An 18,295-nucleotide genomic window follows, 5' to 3' on the forward strand; every position below is an offset into this window, starting at 1 on the left:
GCGGAGGGGCGGGGGCGGGGCGGGGAGGGGAAAGCAGCGGGGACCCCCGGGGAGGGAAGTACCTGCAGGAAGCGGATGAGGTAGCACAGCACCATGCGGTTGATGCGGGGCAGCGCGTGCACCACGGCCACCGCCGCCTCGGGGCTGTCGTAGTGCGCGATGCACTGCTCGTAGAACTCGTGCGGGATCAGGGGCTCCTCCAGCTCCCGGTACCACAGCTTCAGCAGGGACGCTGGGGACACAGCACGGGGCTCAGCGGCCCTGCTCGGCGGGCACCCCTGGGCCAAATGGGGTCCCGTGGCGGACATGCATGGAGGGGTGCTGTGGGGGACAGGCTGGGAGGGCCGGCTCATTCTGGACAGGGCCCATCTGGCCAGGCTGGGCCCTGACCCCAGAGGGCCTTTCGGCTCCTGGGGGCCTGAACTCGATCCTGGAGGCATGTGGGTCACGCCAGCAGAGTTGTGCAAAACAGGATTTTTCTCAGGAGTCGTCTGTGTAGCCACCGTGAGGGGGTGTCTGCAGAGCAGGCACAGCTGAAGGGCACAGGGCAGAGAGCAGCAGGTGGGGAGTGGGCTAGACATAGCAGGCACGGCAGAAGGGCACAGGGCAGCGAGCAGCAGGTGGGGAGTGGGCTAGACATAGCAGGCACGGCAGAAGGGCACAGGGCAGGGAGCAGCAGGTGGGGAGTAGGCTAGACATAGCAGGCACGGCAGAAGGGCACAGGGCAGCGAGCAGCAGGTGGGGAGTGGGCTAGACATAGCAGGCACGGCAGAAGGGCACAGGGCAGGGAGCAGCAGGTGGGGAGTGGGCTAGACATAGCAGGCACGGCAGAAGGGCACAGGGCAGCGAGCAGCAGGTGGGGAGTGGGCTAGACATAGCAGGCACGGCAGAAGGGCACAGGGCAGGGAGCAGCAGGTGGGGAGTGGGCTAGACATAGCAGGCACGGCAGAAGGGCACAGGGCAGGGAGCAGCAGGTGGGGAGTGGGCTAGACATAGCAGGCACGGCAGAAGGGCACAGGGCAGGGAGCAGCAGGTGGGGAGTAGGCTAGACATAGCAGGCACGGCAGAAGGGCACAGGGCAGGGAGCAGCAGGTGGGGAGTGGGCTAGACATAGCAGGCACGGCAGAAGGGCACAGGGCAGGGAGCAGCAGGTGGGGAGTGGGCTAGACATAGCAGGCACGGCAGAAGGGCACAGGGCAGCGAGCAGCAGGTGGGGAGTGGGCTAGACATAGCAGGCACGGCAGAAGGGCACAGGGCAGGGAGCAGCAGGTGGGGAGTGGGCTAGACATAGCAGGCACGGCAGAAGGGCACAGGGCAGGGAGCAGCAGGTGGGGAGTAGGCTAGACATAGCAGGCACGGCAGAAGGGCACAGGGCAGGGAGCAGCAGGTGGGGAGTAGGCTAGACATAGCAGGCACGGCAGAAGGGCACAGGGCAGGGAGCAGCAGGTGGGGAGTGGGCTGCATTGCACAGGTAGGCCTCGGGGTGCCCAGCAGACACCTGGGGAAACTGTCCAATGGGCAGAAGGGAGGATGTGCTAGAAGTGACTGGGAAGCCATCACATCACTGGGCAGGATCAGGGTGGACCCCAGAGGCGGAGACAGGGGCCCCTGAGAACCACTGCCTGAGCCAGGCCCGCTCTGCTGCAGCGTGTGTGGGGGACTCACCAGGGACGTGGGGGTCTTCCAGGCCTGTGGGCACCTTCCACTGGTCCACCTGCAGCTTCAGGGCATTCACCTCGTCAATGTCCCCAGGGACCCTGCAGGGCACAGGGCAGGTCTCAGGCAACAGGAGCCTGTGCTGCGGCTTCATGATTCCGCCTGGACACTCCCTCCGGTAGGCCCCTGCTGACCCGGGGAGGGGAGCAAAACCTCAGGACCCCCCGCCACCCCGGTTGGCCTCTTTCCCACGAACGTGGGTGGGTGGCGCTCTTCAGGATTCCTGCCCCACACACCTGCGTCCGAGTGTGGTGCTTCCCCAGGCCACCGTCCCTCCCTGGACCCCTGCTGGCTCCCTGGGTGGATGCCCTCACCAAAGGGCCACTGGGGCTCAACCTGCAAGCCTCAGTTTCCCCAGCTGCCCTCCTGGGGCCTGGGTACCCCTTGCCCTGACAGGTGAGTCATGGGAGTGGGTGGCACCCTGTGCCATCCCTGTTCACAGACAAGGGCTGCCTGTCATCTGAGGCTCCCACTCCAGGCTACCCATGGCTGGTGTCCAAGCACGCTCTGGACCCCTGGTGGCCGTCTCTGCAGGGGCGCCCTCCCTGGCTGGCTGTGCTGCCTCTTTGGAATGGGTCCTGCCCTCTCTCCTGGCCTGCACACCCTCAGGGTCAGCTTCCACACTGTGGCCCCACCCTTCCATCTGCTCTCAGGTATGGGTGCGGAAGCAGCCCAGTGGGCCTGAGGCTTAATGGCCCCTGCATGCCACAGATGCATGGTGGACACATGGCTGTGGCCCCCACACCCGGCGCCCGGGGTTGCCGTGGCACCTGAAGATGCCCTCTGTCTGGTCACCGTTGAGCGCCAGCACCTCCTCAGAGAGCCGTGTCTGCACCCAGGGCAGCTGGCGCTCGGGGTAGCGCTCTCTCTGCATGCCCATGACCTCCTGCAGTGCGCTGCCGAACATGGACGGGCTGAACACGGCGTTCTTGGCATGCCGGATCTCCTCCACGTTGGGCTTCTTCAGCCCCTGTGAAGACAGAGGCTCCGTCCTGGTCTGGCCTGGCCATCCTCAGGACCCCCCGCCACCCCGGTTGTCTTCTTTCCCCGAACATAGGTGGGTGGCGCTCTTCAGAATTCCTGCCCCACACACCTGGGTCCGAGTGTGGTGTTTCCCCAGGCCACTGTCCATCCCTGGACCAGCCCTCCTCGCCCCCCAAACCCTAACTCCTCCTGGGCTGCCCCTGGCTCTGCCTCCCCCTCCTCTCATCCCTGTGAACTCCTGGCTCCAACTAGAGCTACGGACAAGCCCAGCTCCCTGGCCAGAGTCACCGTCTACAGCACCAGCTCACAGGGGCCCTTGGGAAGGTGGGAGTGAGTCCTGGGCCGGCCAGGGCTGTTGGGGAGCACAGCAGAGGCCAAGCTAGCTGAGCTGGGGTGAAACTTCCAGAAGTCTGTGGCAGGGCTGAGAGCGCTGGGGAGGGGTATGATGGGAGCAGCGCATCAGAGAGAAGAGGATGTGGGGAAGGGGCCAGGCTCTTGGGACAGGTCCAGGGAACGGGGTCCTGTCCCTGTGGTGCGGTGTGACTGAGCCCGTTGCCTGCCTTGCTCCTGAGCTGGGGGTCCGGGCCCAGGAAGAGCCCCCGGGGGAGGGTGCAGCCCAGAAGAACACGGGGTCAGCCTAGCGTACCCCGCCACCCGCCTAGGCGGGCTCCATGTGGCACCCTCTGCGCTGCTGCCCCATACCAAACTGCAGGCGGGGCTCCTGGGGCTGTCCACCAAGGGTCTCTGTGTCCCCGCCTGCCCTCCCCGGCCCCCCAGGCGCACCCGTACCTTCTTGGCCCCGGTCAGGGCTGCCTTCTGTAGCTTGTGGTAACAGTACTTGGCATACGTGCTTATCGCCACCCCTGGAAAGGAAAGGGGCCTGATCAGCCTGATGTGGGTGTGTGGGTGTGGGGCCAGGAGAGGGGTGAGCAGACACAGCTCCTTCGAGGGCCCTGGGGGGCTGGGCTGGCCTTGCCCCGGTCACCCCCTGCCCAGCACAGCGGGTCCTCACACTCTCCCAGGCAGTGTCCTTTAGAGCAGAGGCCCAAGGAGCACTTCCCCACCTGCAGAGGGACAGGCTTGGGAGGAACCGCCTGGCAGCTCCACCTGCCCTCCTACGGCCACGCAGGAACAGGAAGGGCAGGACCTGGGTCTGAGGGCCTCTAGACCCCACTGCTCCCTCCCCGGGGCCTGACCCAGGGAGCTGTCCAGGTATTTGACTCTTCTCTGCTTCAGGCCCCTCCCTGGCTTTTAGGCTGTGGGCAGGAGCCCCTGGAGGAGTCATTTCCACCTACCCAGCACCCGCAGCCAGTGCTGGGGGAGGCAGGCACTGAGCTATCTGCACAGCAAGCCCAGCTCTGCTGCAGCCCTGGGCCTGAAGTACCACCTCTGGGCTCTTCTGAAGGACTGAGGCAGCAATGAGAGGGCCCAGTCTCCTTTCTCAAAGGAGGGGCTTCCTAAAACTCAGCCCGACAGCAGGGTCCCTGAGGGGAGGGGCAGTGTGCCTGAGTCAGCACCTGATGAGGGACTCAGGGACCTCAGCCTGGGGAGTCTCCAGACACAGAGCCCAGGGGAAGGTGCTAGAGGGGAGAGGATTCCCAGGCTGGGTCTGGAAGGCGCGGCACCTTCCTGCTCCAGGTCGGGAAGCAGCAGATGAGAGAACACGCCAAGAGAAGCTGTCTGGGGCCAGGGGAGCCATGGACCTCGGACAGATGGACAGGACCCTGTGCTTCTGGACATGAGACCTGCCCCAGCGCCCAGCGCCTACCGCCTGCCAGGGTGAGGGGGGCCTCTGGATCCTGACCCCCAATCGGAACACCTTTGTCTTCTTTGAAGGAGCAGTTTCTGGTGGACAGCTGAGGGCATGGGGTCCTTGGACCAGGTTAAAAAAAAGTGCACACGTGTCTTGAGTCCATCTCTAATTATCACAGAATAGTTGACATGTGACTGCTAAGGAGACTCTTTTTTAGAGGAACCAAAATGAATTTTTTTTTTCATAGACGTTTAGGTCCTAGAAAATCTGTCATGGTCCTTGGGACCACAGGTCTTGGCAGAGGATGTGGCCCCAGCCTCCAGCGTGGGACCATGTGGAACCAAGGGCCCCTCTGGGCAGGCTATGAGGTACCCTTGTTTTTCTAGAATGGATGGTGCCCACGCACACTGGACCCAGGCTTCAGAGCCTCAAGAAGGCAAGGAGGGAATGAGCTTTGCAGGAAGGCGGCAGAAACCCAGGGCCTCAGCTCAGCAGCTGGGACATGTAGTCACTAGGCTGGGGGGCCTGGGGCAGACGGCAGGGCTGGGCCTCCTGCTTGCTGTCCCTGCGGGAAGACAGGCCCTGATCTCCTGTCCCCAGGCCCCTGGTGGGACAAACACCCCAGCCTGAGCCTGCTTGGGACTGGGACACCCTCCAACACTCTGTGACTGGGATACACTGGGGCCACCGCCTCTCAGCTGATGAAGGTGATCATAATGCAGTCTCTCTGTGCCTCAGTTTACTCCTCTGTAGGATGGGGACTGTGACAATGCCTGTCTGTTGCAGTGCTCAGCAGGCAGCTGCCGGTGTCACAACTGTAGTGGGCAGGCCAGGGACTGAGGCCACACTACTTCACCTGCAACTTCACTCTGGGGGTCAGGCTGCCTGTGCCCTAAGGTCTAGGAAGGTGGGGATGACTGCACTCACGCTGCCTCAGGCACAGGGCCAGGCACCAAGGTGTCTGCTGACCTGCAGTGGGATAGTGGGCAGTGCCCATCGCCAGCCCAGGGAGACCCTCACCTGTGTGGGGTGCTCTGCTCTGAGCCCACTGCCCTGATCCGGCCTTGCCTGGACCTCAGCCCTCATCTCCATCCCCCTCCGGCTGTAGGCAAGCCCAGGAGGGACGGCTGCCCACAGAGGCACCAACAGCAGCAGCTCTCCTAAGGCCTGTGCTACTCTGCTCGGGGGCCAGGCCTGCCCCGGGGACCTTAGAGCTACAGGACCAGGTCACAGGTCTCCCAGGCCACCAGGTGTGGCCAGGGCCTCCTGATGTTGACCCTGCTCCCCACCTGACACACCCTGGGCCGCAATGTCCCACTGGGCTCCACTCCAGGCACAGGGGAGTCTGCTCCCTGCTCCGCCTGGCTGCAGCCAGGAGGCTTTTATGGCCAGCGGTGTCGGTCCAGCTCTCAGGCCACCGGACGCCAGCTCAGGTAGGAGCGCAAAGCTCCTTCTACGCTGCCCCAGATGGAGTGGTCTGAGGACGTCTGTGGCCAGGAATCTCACCCCTACATTGCAGCTGGCCCTCTTCTCCCAGGGTCCTGGGTGAGGCCAGGCTGGGTGACTCGGGACTGGGCCAGGGACCCCTGGCACAGACCTGCTGGTGGCAGCCTCGGAGGTGCCAGGGTGAGGACAAGTCCCTAGCCCAGCAGATGCCATCCTGGCATTCCCCACGAGGGCCCTTCGTGCCCCTGTAGCCTCCTGCTGGTCCCAGAGTTGGCCCTAAGCAAACCTCATCCACAGAAAGCTCGCTGGCACTGTTCTGGGCCTGCATGGGCAGCATGCAGTCAGGGATGGCTTCCTGGAGGAAGAGGTGCCTAAGCCAAGTGGTCTCAAAGGAAGTGGAGCAGAGAGGTGGTGGCGGAGCTCTAGACAGATGAGTGGGCGTGAGGCACTAACTGGCAGGACCACACTGCAGGGGTCGGGAGGACGGCCCTGGAAGCCTGTGTGTGCATGGGTGTGAGCGCGGAGCTGACTTGGTCTGACAGCGTAGCTCTCAAAAGGGAGAGCACAGCCCTGGGTTCACAGGGCTTTCCTGAGCCAGGGCCTGGGGGAAGGTAGAGAGGTGGAAGCTGTGTGAGAGTGTGGGTGGGAAGGGTGCTGGTGGGGAGGGTGGGGAAGCCCTCCCCCTGCTTCTGGGGCTGTGCTAGGGGCCCACCATCAAAGCAGGGGACGACTCCTTGCAGATTCTGAACACCAGGCTTGGCTCTTGTGGCCCAGGGGCAGCCCTGGGCGGGAAGACAGGACTGAGGGGTGCTTGTCTGCAGGGCACCACACACCCCTCCACCTGCAAACTTCCCTGTGGGGGTCAGGCCCAAACACTCACCTGGGGGCACCTCCAGGAGCCCTCAGCCGGCAAGTTATCATGCCCCCACCCCATCAAGAACCCAGCAAGCAAGTTGGAAATGGCTCTGGACACCACAAAGACACGTGTGGACAGGCTTGACCGCTCCAGGGGTCCAGTCAGTCACCTGGGCCCTCCAGCTCGCTCAGGAGGCCACAGGCCTGAGGTTAGTGGCCCCATCCCCCCCGCCCAGAAGCGGTTAGAGAAGAGAAGGCCAGGCGGCCGAGGCTGGAGAGCAGAGCTGTGCAGACGCCGCGCCCAGGGGCTGCGGGGAGAGGCCCTACCATCCGGCTCTTCAACATAAGGCTTGGGTTTCTTTCTCAATTTGGACTTCTTCTTAGTGTTTCTTTCCAGGAGCTCTTTTATGTGCTGTGTCACTGGGGAGCAAAGACAACCATCAGCACGACAGAACAAAACGCCAGGAGCCAGCGCCCACTCAGCTCCCGCACTTGGCTGGTGAGCAGGCCCCTGGGCCTGTTGGGGGCTCACCCTGTGCAGCTGGGGGCTGAGCGTTTCTGGGGGGACGTGGCTGTGTGAGTGGCAGAGAGGTGCCGGGGGCCCTTCTGAGCACTGTGTGGGCTGGGAAGCTGCCGTGCCTGTGCTGGCGTGAGTGGAGGTGCAGGGAAGGCGCCAGGGGAGCAGGAGGAGAACACAGGGAAGGCGCCTGGGGAGCAGGAGGAGAGCAGGCAGCTTCTGCCCTCTGGCTGGCAGCAAGGCTGGGGCAGCCATGGCCTGGGCCCCCTGCCTGCCGGTCAGAAAACCAACAGAAACAAGTGGGCGAAGGCAGCTGGCCCCAAGCCAGGTGCTGCAGTCAGAGAGGAGGGGGCTCCCCTCAGGCTGATCTGGGTCTGCCTCCCGCTCTGCACAGCGTAACTCCGCAGTGTTGCCACTGGCCTCGATGACCTAGCTGAGGTCACGGCTGGCAGGCTCCTGTGAGGTACCGTCTCCTCCTCCTGCTCCGTGCCACACTCTGTAGGAGGAGTCACTGTGCCCGGCCCACACCTGAGGGGTGGAGTTAGGCTCCAGCTCCTGGAGGGTGGATATGTACGTAAATTATTTGTCATTATTCTGCACAGATTTGTCTATTCCTACCTATTGAATTACTCATTTATATCAGTATGGACTTAGTTTTTTCTTCTTTTTGAGATAGGGTCTGTGTCACCCAGGCTGGAGTGAGTGGTGCGATCTCAGCTCACTGCAACCTCCACCCACCGCAGCCTCCACCTCCCGGGTTCAAGAGATTCCCACCTCAGTCTCCTGAGTAGTTGGAATTACAGGCATGCACCACCACATCTGACTAATTTTTGTACTTTTGGTAGAGATGGGGTTTCACCATGTTGGCCAGGCTGGTCTTGAACTCTTGACCTCAAATGATCCACCCACCTCGGCCTCCCAAAGTGCTGGGATTACAGGTGTGAGCCACTGCGCCCGGCCTACTTATGGATTTTACTTTATACTTGGGTTATAATCCAATGGGTCTTTATCTTGTTGCTCAACTTGCTCCAGCCTTGGCCACTGGGAACTCCTTCCGCTGGCCCCTGTGTCCCTGTGACAGGCGTCACCCCCACCTCCGGCACTTCCTCACTTTTGACTACATCTCGTATATGCCCCGCACCAGCCCTGGAATCACCCATTTCTCCAAGGAACTCTGGATCGTTTTAATGGAAAATGGTATTTAGAAACCAAGATCTGGGTGTGCGATGTGCTTACTGCTGCCAGGAAACCACTGCTTGCAGGTCCTCTCAGCTGACAGAATGAGGAAGCCCCTGTGTGCACGCTAACTCCTGTTCACATGCACATCTGTAAATATTTCTGTATGTGGCCATCTGTCTCCTCAACATACAGAGCTAAACATGGCCTCTAACTTGATTCCACTACCGCCGACAGTCGCCCCGGCTTCCTCCCTTTGCGTGTCTGTGACTGGTGTATCTTCTCATTCTTTTAACAGTCTTTTGTAGGAGACTTAATTTTGACGAAGTCCAATTTATCCATGTTTTTCTTTTATAGATAGTACTTTTGGAATTATATATAAAAATCTTTGCCTCCCTCAGGAGAGCAAGCATTTTCTCCTGTTTTGTTCCAGAAGTTTTATAGTTTTAGGTTTTATATCTTGGTTTACGAGTGATCCATTTGCAGTTATTTTTTGTGTACACTTCAAAATATGCGTTGAAATTCATCTTTTGTTTGCATTTGGATATCCGGTTTTCCCAGCATCATCGAAGGAAAAGACTGTCTTTTCTTCACTAAGTTGCCTTTGCAGCACTGTGGAAAGCTGGCTCATCCATCCATGGGTCTGTTTCTAAACTTGCTCTCTGTGGCACTGACCCACTGTCTACCTCAAGGCTAGTGCCACACTCTCGTTAGTCTAGCTTTATAACAAGTCAGGTGGTGTAAGTCCTCCAACTCTATTTTTTCAAAGGGGTTTTGGCTATTCTAGGTCCTTTGTAGTTCCTATGCATTTTAGAATCAGCCTGTCAATTTCTAAAACAAAAAAAAGTGGTACAATTTGCATTCAGATTTAATCTATGCGTCGATTTGGTAGAACTGATGGCCTAACAGTATTGCCTTCTGATTCATAAGCACAGCAGACCTCTCCGTCTACTTTACTGCTTTACTTTCAGCAATGGTTTGCAGTTTTTACTGTACAGGTCTTACATGTCCTTTGTCAGATCTATCTCTAAGTATGTCATATTTTAAAATGCTACTGCAGGCAGGCACAGAGAAGCTGAGGCAGAAGGATCACTTGAGGCAAGGAGTTAAAGATGAGATGGGGCAACATTGCAAAACTTCATCTCTCCAAAAAAATTACATTAGCCAGGTGCGGTGGTTCAGGCCTGTTGTCCTAGCTACTCGAGATGTTGAGGCAGGGGGATCATAGCTTGAGCCCAAGAGTTGGAGGCTACAGTGAGCTATCACAGCACTGTGCACCACCCTGGGCCACAGAGTCTCAGAATAAATAAATACATGCGACTGTACTCCACCCTGGAGACCCTGTCTCTAAATAAATAAATACATGCAACTGCAAATGATTATTTTAAAATATCAGCTTCTAATAATTTGTTGCTAGTATATAGAAATATGAGGCCAGGCTTGGTGGCTTACATCTGTGATCCCAGCACTTTGGGAGGCTAAGGTGGGAGAATCACTTGAGCCTAGGAGTTCGAGATCAGCCTGGCCAACATGGTGAAACCCTGTCTCTACAAAACTTAAGAAAAAAATTAGCTGGGCTTGGTAGTGCCTGTGGCCCCAGCTACTCGGGAGGCTGAGGTGGGAGGATCCCACGAGCCTGAGAGGTGGAGGCTACAGTGAGCAGTGACGTCACCACTGCACTTCCCTGGGCAATACAGTGAGAACCTGTCTGGAAAAAAAAAAGAAATATTTATTTGAAACGAAGTCCCTGTCTGGGGATAAATAAAAGACATAATTAATTAATTTGAAACAGTCTTGCTCTGTTGCCCAGGCTAGAGTGCAATGGCAAGATCTCGGCTCACTGCAACCTCCGCCTCCTGGGTTCAAGTGATTCTCCTGCCTCAGCCTCCTGAGTGCCTGGGATTACAGGCGCCCGCCACCATGCCTGACTAATTTTTGTATTTTTAGTAAAGATGGGGTTTCACCATGTTGGCCAGGCTGGTCTCGAACTCTTGGCCTCAGTGATCCACCGGCCTCCGCCTCCCAAAGTGCTGGGATGACAGGCGTGAGCCACCGCGCCTGGACTCCTTTGCTTCTTAAGCAGTTTTAACCAATCCTTTGTTTCCAGCTTCAGGGTCACCCTCTTCCCCCTTTGCTAGAAGCATTTGTGAGCTTCTAAGGGTTTGCTGCCTGCTTCAGCTTTTCCGTTTCCCACCATCGGCCCAGGATTTACCGTTTGTGGTCCACATGCTCCACCTTCTAAAACAGCTGTTCTTCCTTTTCCATTTTCTTTTTCTTTGTGTTTTTAAAAGTTTGGTAAAATACACATAAAATTTACCACTTTAACCATTTAAAAACAGACAGTTCTGTGACATTAAGTACATTTACATTGTTGTACAACTATCACCACTGGCCATCTCCAGAACTTTTTCATCTTTCCAAAGCAGACCTCACTCCCCGCTTCTCCCTCCCTCAGCCGTGGCACCCACCATTCTAGTTTCTGTCTCTGGGAATCTGACTGCTCTAGGGCCTCACGGAGGGAGAATCCTACAATCTCTATCCTGACTGGCTTCTTGCCTTTAGCATGATGCCCTCAAGGTTCATCCATGCGCGTCTATCAACATTTCCTTCCTTTTTAAGGCTGGAAATAATTTTCCATTTTGTGGCTGGACACGTTCTGTTTCTCCATTCAGCTGCTGATGGATCCTTGTCATGTTCCCACCTTTTAGTTATAAGAGCTGCTGTGAACGAGGTGTACAAATCACCATTACAGTCCTGGCTCCCAGCTCTTCTGGGTCATTCTGGAAGTGGAAATGCTAGATGATATGGGAATTATATTTTTAATTATTTGAGGAACTGCCTACCAGTTTCCACAGTGGCTGTACCATTTTACATTCCTTTCTGGGTTTTTTTTTTTTGCCTTTAAAAAATGGCTTCACTGCTGTTTTAGTGAGTTCAAGGCAAAGGTGAAGCAAATGCCCATGTTCAATCCGCCATCTTGAGCTGGAAGCCGGGAGACCTTGTTGGATGCATGAAGAAGCGAGCAGTGAATGAAACCTTTAGGAGTCTCCAGCCTTCCAAAATACACAGAAGTGGAGCAGGTGGGAGAGCTGGAGGCTACCATACCCACTGCCAGGTGCTCCTCGATGTCTGTGTCGAGAACCTGTTGAGGGAGGTCCTGGGGACCAGCCAGGAGACCCCCTGCTGGTGTGAAAGGTGTGAGCACCCATGAGACAAGGCTAAGCTGGGGGCATCACCTCGTGGGGCCTCAGTCCCCGAGGGTGGTGACCACACAGTGCAGGTCACGCAGGTGCTGGCCGATGAGTCAAAGGCTCCTGAGGCTGAGGCAGGCAGGGTGCTCAGGGCGACGCACCAGGCTCAGCTCTGCTCCTCACCGAGGGTCCCTAGGCTACAGTTTCCTTTTTCTAAGAACTGTGCTGCAGCCTAGCTGGCCCTCCACAGTACAGGCTATATCCGACATCCTCCTCGGCTGATAGGGCCTGTCTTTCTTTCCTTTCTCTTCTCTTCCTTCCTGCTTTTCTTTCTTTCTTTTTCCTACCCGCCCCCCCACCCCCACTTCGACGGAGTCTTGGCCGGGCACAATGGCTCACGCCTCTAATCCCAGCACTTTGGGAAACTCAGGTGGGTGGATCAACTCAGGTCAGCAGTTTGAGACCATCCTGGCCAACGTGGTGAAACCCCGTCTCTACTAAAAATACAAAAACTAGCTGGGTATGGTGGCGCGCACCTGTGGTCCCTGCTACACGGGAGGCTGAGGCAGGACAATCGCTTGAACCCAGGAGGCAGAGGTTGCAGTGAGTCATGATTGCACCACTGCACTCCTGAACTCCAGCCTGGGCAACAGAGCGAGACTCTAACTCCAAAAAAAAAGGGGGGTCTTGCTCTGTTGCCCAGGCTGGGGGTCTTGCTCTGTTGCCCAGGCTGGAGTGCAGGAGTGCAGTGGTACGATCATGACTCACTGCAGACTTAACCTCCTGGGCTCAAGCAATCCTCCTGCCTCAGCCTCCCAAGTAGTTGGGACCACAAGCATACACCACCATGCTTGGCTAATTTCCTTTTTAAAATTTTTCATAAAGACAGGGTCTCACTTTGTTGCCCAGGCTGGTCTCAAACTCCCAGGCTCAAGGGATCCTCTTGCCTTGGCCCAGAGTGCTGGGATTCCAGGTGTGAGCCACTGTGCCTGGCTGGGCCTGTCTTTCTGAGCAGCAGCCAGCACCTGCATGTGAAAGGGACACCTCCTAGGCACAGGAGGCTGGCTGGAGGGGGTGTGAGGCTCATTTGGGAAGGAATGGCCACTGTGTATGTAGAGGCCTCTCTTCTGGGCTCAGGGCCAATCAGGGACCCTGACAGACGAACCTAGGAGTGGATCCTGGGGCTGGAGATGAGGTTCTGGCTGTGAGGGTGGCCACAGTACCACAGCCAAGATGCAGGCTACCTGCCAGTGGGACTGCACAGAGCCCCAGCCCCGCTGTCACTCCAACCCAGACGGTGCTGTTGGCCTTCATGGGCCTTCTTTGGCAGAGCTCTGAAGCCACGGCCGCCCAGGCTGAAGCCTGATTCCTTTTTCCATGCAGGCCAGGACCCCACAGGTGTAAGGCACAAGGACAAAGGCACACGAGCCTAAGTGTGAAGGGCAGCAGCCTGGAGCACACACTCCCCTAGGAAGCCACAGCCTCTACTTACATACAGCAGAAACAGCCCAGCCACACATTGGCTAGGCAGCTGGCCCAAGATGGGCCCAAGAAACCTCAGGCCTTTGTCTGGCTGTCTTCTGGCCCTCACTTGCCTACTCTCGGGGGTACCCACTGTGGGCTGCATGCTGTGCTGAGCAGTGGGGGCTCAGCTCCATAGCCTCCAGCTCAGGCACGACATTCCCAGGCCCCTCTGGAAGAGGAAGAGGAGGTGAACTATGATGCCAAGAGGAACACAGCCCCTAGAATTCCACCTGCTTCTTGAAGGGCCCAAGACCAGGGACTGGGCTTCACAGGCCAGCCCAGTCTGCCTGGCACCCTGCTCTGGTCCTCCTCTGCACACCTGGAGCCCCGGCCACCTGCCAAACTCTGCCTCTGCTGTGATCTTGTGTTGAAAAGTCGGGTGAAACTGCATGGCTTCCAAAATCTCCCCACAAACAGCTGATGGGCTGGGTGGTGCCTATACCCAACACTGTCCCCAGGAACCTCCCACTGCCCTGTGGCCTCCACCCTGCCTCTGTGTGCCCACAGCAGCTTGGGAGCCACCTCCTCCACACCTGGGCTGGGGGTAATAGGGGTAAGGCCCAGCAAGGCCCTGACCAGGGGCTCAATCTCTGCAGAGGCAAAGGCCAGACCAGGGTGGGCTCTCACTGCCACAGAACAGTCTATGGCATGTCTGACCTGGAGGGTGTGTGTGCGTGCGTGCATGTGTGTGTGTGTGCGCGTGCATTTCTGGATATCAGTTCTGTGGCTGTGCCCTGTAGATACCCATGATGTGAGGTGGAGAGCTGCTTGCTGCAGACACGGGGCTGTCTGGCGGATGGCACCATGGCCTGGGCCCAGCACACCTGAAGCATCGTCTTGGAGAGCCCTGGGCAGACTCTGGCCTCCCACGCTGCCCCAGGCAGCCATCAGGATGTGATGATGGCTCCGACGTGCGACCCCATGGGGCAGCTTTGGGGCAGCTCAGGTGCTGCGTGACCTGCATGTGAGCCAGTCATCAAGCTCCTGCCTGCTCACAGGAGCCTTCTGCCAGGACCATGCCCAGAAGAGACAACCCGGATCTTGCCAGGGTGGTAGCCCTCTAGGTCACGGATGGCAGAAGGCAAGTGCGGCAGGCACACAGGTGCCTGACTACGGCTGCTCCGCCCTCGGCGTCTTCGTGCCTGCCCTTGTCAGGGAGCGGGACTGGCCATGGTGGGCTTGGAGCAGAGTGGATGCGGCCATTGAGGCCCCAAGCCCTCGTGTCTGCCAGGGCTCCGGGGCTCTTCACCTCAGTGCCCAGGTGGGGCTCCAGGAAGAGGCCACATCCAGCAGAGGCCCAGAGTGTGGGGCGTTTTGGGAGGTGTGTGTCGAACCATGGCCCTGTGTGGAGGGCCGCCAGGGACTTCACCAGCTGCCGCCCAGCACAGCAGGAGCCCTCTCCACTGCCCTTACCTGAGCTGGTGGCAAAGCCCGTGCATGGCCTTACCTTTAGTGTCATTGACGGGGTCCATGTGCCGGTAGATGTAGCCTTCCAGGTAGGAGTGGAACTTGGGGGTGGGCGGGAAAAAGGCCAGGCAGATGGCCATGAGCTCCCAGCCGCGGGCCAGGCTCTCCAGGCGGAAGTTCTCGGTGGTCTGCCGGCACAGCTGGATGTAGAGCTCGTCCCGCAGGCCCTGCACGCTCCAGCCCTTGGTGGCCACCTCCAGGGCCACGTGCAGTGGGTCGGCCTTGGCCCGCCGGTCACCCATGTACATCTGGATCAGCTTGAAGAGCTCGCAGGCCTCCTTCTTCACGTGCCGGTCGCTTGTCACGATCATGGGCTTCTTGATGGACTCGCTGCTCCAGGCCAGCATGTTGGCGATGGACACCTTCCGCCGGAAGAGGCCCTGCGTGTGCTTGTTGAAGTGCTTGGAGGCCCAGTTCTCGATGTCCGTCTCCGAGGAGGGCTTGCGCAGCGTGAAAGTGGGGAAGACGCAGCTGGAGCTGGGAACGCCGCTGCGGCTCTGCCGGCTGCTCTCGAACTGGGCACAGGCAGCGAGGTCCTCAGACTGAGAAGGACAAATGCGGCTGGGCTGTTGGGGGTGGGGGAGGGCCAGGCAGGTGGGCCCACTGGGCCACAGTCCCCAGAAGTGTGAGCTGGGGCCCCACCAGAGCCAGCCAGGTGAGAGCCCTGCCCTGCTCACCACAAAGCTGTCTGAGGTGGGAGGCCCAGGGGAGCCCAGCCCGTCCACAGATGCAGCTGGGACGCCGGAGCCCTGTACTCCCAGGGTGTGGCAGGGCAGCCTGCTGATGGGTGACCCAGGTGACCTGGCTGAGGGTGAGGCGGGAGGAAGGGGAGCATCCGCTGGCACCCCCAGGGGGCTGACCTCATTCTGCCGCCCCCTGAGGAAGTGTCAGTGCCCTTGTTCAGGCACGGAAGGCTGCAGTTCACACCAGGTAAAAGTGCTGTCTGGTTCCCAATCCCTTCACTGCTGGGACCCCAGGCCCTTCCCTCCAGCCTTCACCCCAGGCCGACCTCCAGGAGGCCCCTCCCTGCCTGCTGCTCTGAGAGAACCTGGTCCATGCACCCTGGGCCTCTCTGCCCTCTTGTCCTGCATCTTGAGAAGTGGACAGAATCACGGACCGGAAGCTGCTCTGAGTTCTCCACCCTGGAGACCACGAAGGCCACCCAGGCCCTCGAGGTCTCCCCACCCAAGGAAGCTCCCTGTGTTCCTCCTCCACCCTCCCGGGTCCTCAGACGCTAGGCCTGCCCTCTGCCTCACCCTGTGAGAACAAGGAGGTGAGAACAAGGATGGAGATGCTGGACAGAGGTGCACGTGGCCTCCACGGGATCTAGCCTCCATCAGCTCCAGGAGCCAGATGGGGAACGTGCCAGAGGCCCCAGGCTGGGCGCAACATCCCGGAATTCCTGCGGCCTCTGTCCTCCCGGCAGTTCTTCCTACCCGAGGGAGCCTCGGGGACTGGCTTTGAGAACCACCAGGGAACCCCCGACACCTTGGCTGCCTGCTCCTCAGGGGCCCAGGCCACGGCTCCGGTGGCCACCACCCTCCCAGGCTGCTGAGGCCTTCTCTGTTCTGTGTCTGGAGTCAGGGTGTGGCCTCCAGCTCCCAGGTGCCCCCAGGATGAGGAAGGCACTGCCAGGGAACGCCCAGCAGCCCACACCCCACGGGGCCTCCTCGTGGACTCCCAGCTGAGCCCTGACAGCCCGCTGGAGTGCCCAGGGCCCCGGAGACACGGGGCTTCAGAACTCTGCGTGCTGCGTGCACGCCCTGGACGCCAGGTCTCCTGTGCCTGGCCCACGGGGTCCACTCTGACTGGGCTGGCCCCAGGCTCTCAAGCTCAGCCGCGCCCATTGGGCCCTCACCTGTGAGGGGTGGAGGTAGGGCTCTGGTGAGGCCAGGTTGGTCTGCACGGAGACGCTCTTCTCCAGCAGGATCTGGGGGAAGCCTAGCTTCTCGAAGGTGCCCCTCCTCCAGTGCCTGTTCTCCTGCTGGGCCAGCGCCTCGTCCTCGCTGAAGGCCCGCACCACCGGCCCGGGCATGGGCAGTGGCAGGGCGCCGTCGCTCTCGTAGCCAGAGCCGTCCTGCTGGGAGTCCCAGCTGCTCCTCTGCTTCATGTGGAAGTGGGCCTGCTGCGCCTCCCAGGCCAGCCGAGCCTGCGCCAGGAAGGGCTCGGCCGCGCCCCGCGCCCCTTCGGCCTCACCTTCCGCTCGCTTCACGGGGGCGAGGCTGGTCCCGCACGGGGGCTGTTCCTCGGCCAGGGGCTGCTCCACAAGCAGGTCCCCGGGGCCCTCAGTGGGGGTGGCGCTGGTGGCTTGGCACAAAGAGGGCTTTCTGCTCTTCCGCTTGCGCGTGCCCGGGGAGTAGCCTGTGGAGGACAGGGTGTCCTGCTGGCTGGACCAGGACATGGCATCCTCCTGGGCCTGTGGCAGCGGCGTGGGCGGCTGGCTGTGCCGCAGCTCAGGTCCCTCCATGGTGCTGTAGTCTCCGGACTTGACGCCCAGGCGCTGGTCCCTCAGCAGGCAGGGGCTGGGCTGCAAGGAGTACGAACCACCGCCGGGGTTGGGCGCGTACTTGTGCCGCGGGCCGGCGCGCAGCTTGGGGCTGGAGCCCGCCTGCTCCACGTAGACCAGCTGCCGCACGTACTCCTTGCCGGCGGGACTGTACTCCAGGCTCAGGAAGCGCTCGGGACACTTCTGCTTGGTGAGCACCAGCTGCTGGCAGGGCGAGGGGGGGCCCTGCTTGTTGGGCTGGAGGAACGGCCGGGGCTTACGGCCCGGCGACCGCTGGGGAGAGCCGGCCTGGTAGCCCCCGCCAGCCTCGAATTGCACGTCCATGGGGGGCTCATCGTAGATGGGGGCCTGGTACTCCACTGGGGGCTCCTCGTAGAGCGGGGGTTCATAGCCATAGCGCGGGGAGGAGGGCTGCGAGTCCCCGGAGGGCTTTCGGGGCTGGGCCAGCAGCGGGGAGCTGCTCCCTGGGAGCTCGGCCCTCTTCAGGAAGGGTGACGGCCTCCTCTCTGGGAAGAAGATGGTGCCGTCAGCCTCCGGGGCGAAGGTCTGCAGGCTGGGTGAGTGCTGGCTGCCGGAGGGTCTGCGGGAGCGGACCCCAGGTGGGCCGTCTGGGGCGTAGCCATTGCCCTGGGCGGCGAGGAAGCTGGGCTCCCGATCAGCGACCTTGATGAGCATGCGCTCTTTGGCGCCCGAGTTCCACCGCAGCGAGGAGGTCCTGCGTGGGGGGTGGACGGGCACAGGTGACTGCCTGCCTGCTGCTTCTGGGCACGCCCCACCCCCTCGGGGGCTGTAGGCAGCGGCTCCCGCGAACCCTCTGTTGTACACCTTCCTCGCTGGGGCCCTGTGGCCTGGCGCCCCTCACACCTGCCTTGCCCCAGCACCCCCAGCCCTCCCTCTGGGGCTCTCCTGGAGCTGCCGCCCACGACCAGGTGTCTGTCTGCTCTGATCCCAGCTCCTGACCGGGCACAGGGCTGCTTCTGTAACTAGAACCGGGGGCGGCGTTACCAGGGCCCTTAATGTGGGTGCTGTGCGGGTGTCTCCAGAGCTGCCTGAGCCGCCGGGCAGGCTCCTGGGCCCTGTGTTCCTGCTGAGCAGTGGCGTTGGACCCGTCCCAGTGGTCCAGGTGAGCCCAGCAGGAGGAAGGCACACCACCAGAATCC

At 60.2% G+C, this 18,295-nt stretch overlaps 1 protein-coding gene across 6 annotated transcripts in view; it reads right to left on the bottom strand.

Annotated features, from left to right (window-relative positions):
* The window catches only part of ARHGAP39 (Rho GTPase activating protein 39), a 171,184-nt gene that overhangs the window by 1,461 nt on the left and 151,428 nt on the right, over positions 1-18,295 (bottom strand). For 4 of the 6 annotated variants that reach the window (XM_011517308.2, NM_025251.3, XM_017013870.3 and 1 more), the window contains 7 exons: positions 16,488-17,850; positions 14,610-15,171; positions 7,082-7,174; positions 3,490-3,563; positions 2,487-2,686; positions 1,666-1,757; positions 63-232 (listed from right to left, as the gene is read on the bottom strand). In XM_011517308.2, coding sequence (XP_011515610.1) covers positions 63-232; positions 1,666-1,757; positions 2,487-2,686; positions 3,490-3,563; positions 7,082-7,174; positions 14,610-15,171; positions 16,488-17,850 — 2,554 coding nt within the window. The remainder of the gene's footprint in view (positions 1-62; positions 233-1,665; positions 1,758-2,486; positions 2,687-3,489; positions 3,564-7,081; positions 7,175-14,609; positions 15,172-16,487; positions 17,851-18,295) is intronic. The other 2 variants (NM_001308208.2, NM_001308207.1) reach the window with 1 other exon arrangement.

The sequence above is a fragment of the Homo sapiens genome, chromosome 8 (genome assembly GCF_000001405.40).
Source record: "Homo sapiens chromosome 8, GRCh38.p14 Primary Assembly".
NCBI classification, from domain to species: Eukaryota; Metazoa; Chordata; class Mammalia; order Primates; family Hominidae; genus Homo; species Homo sapiens.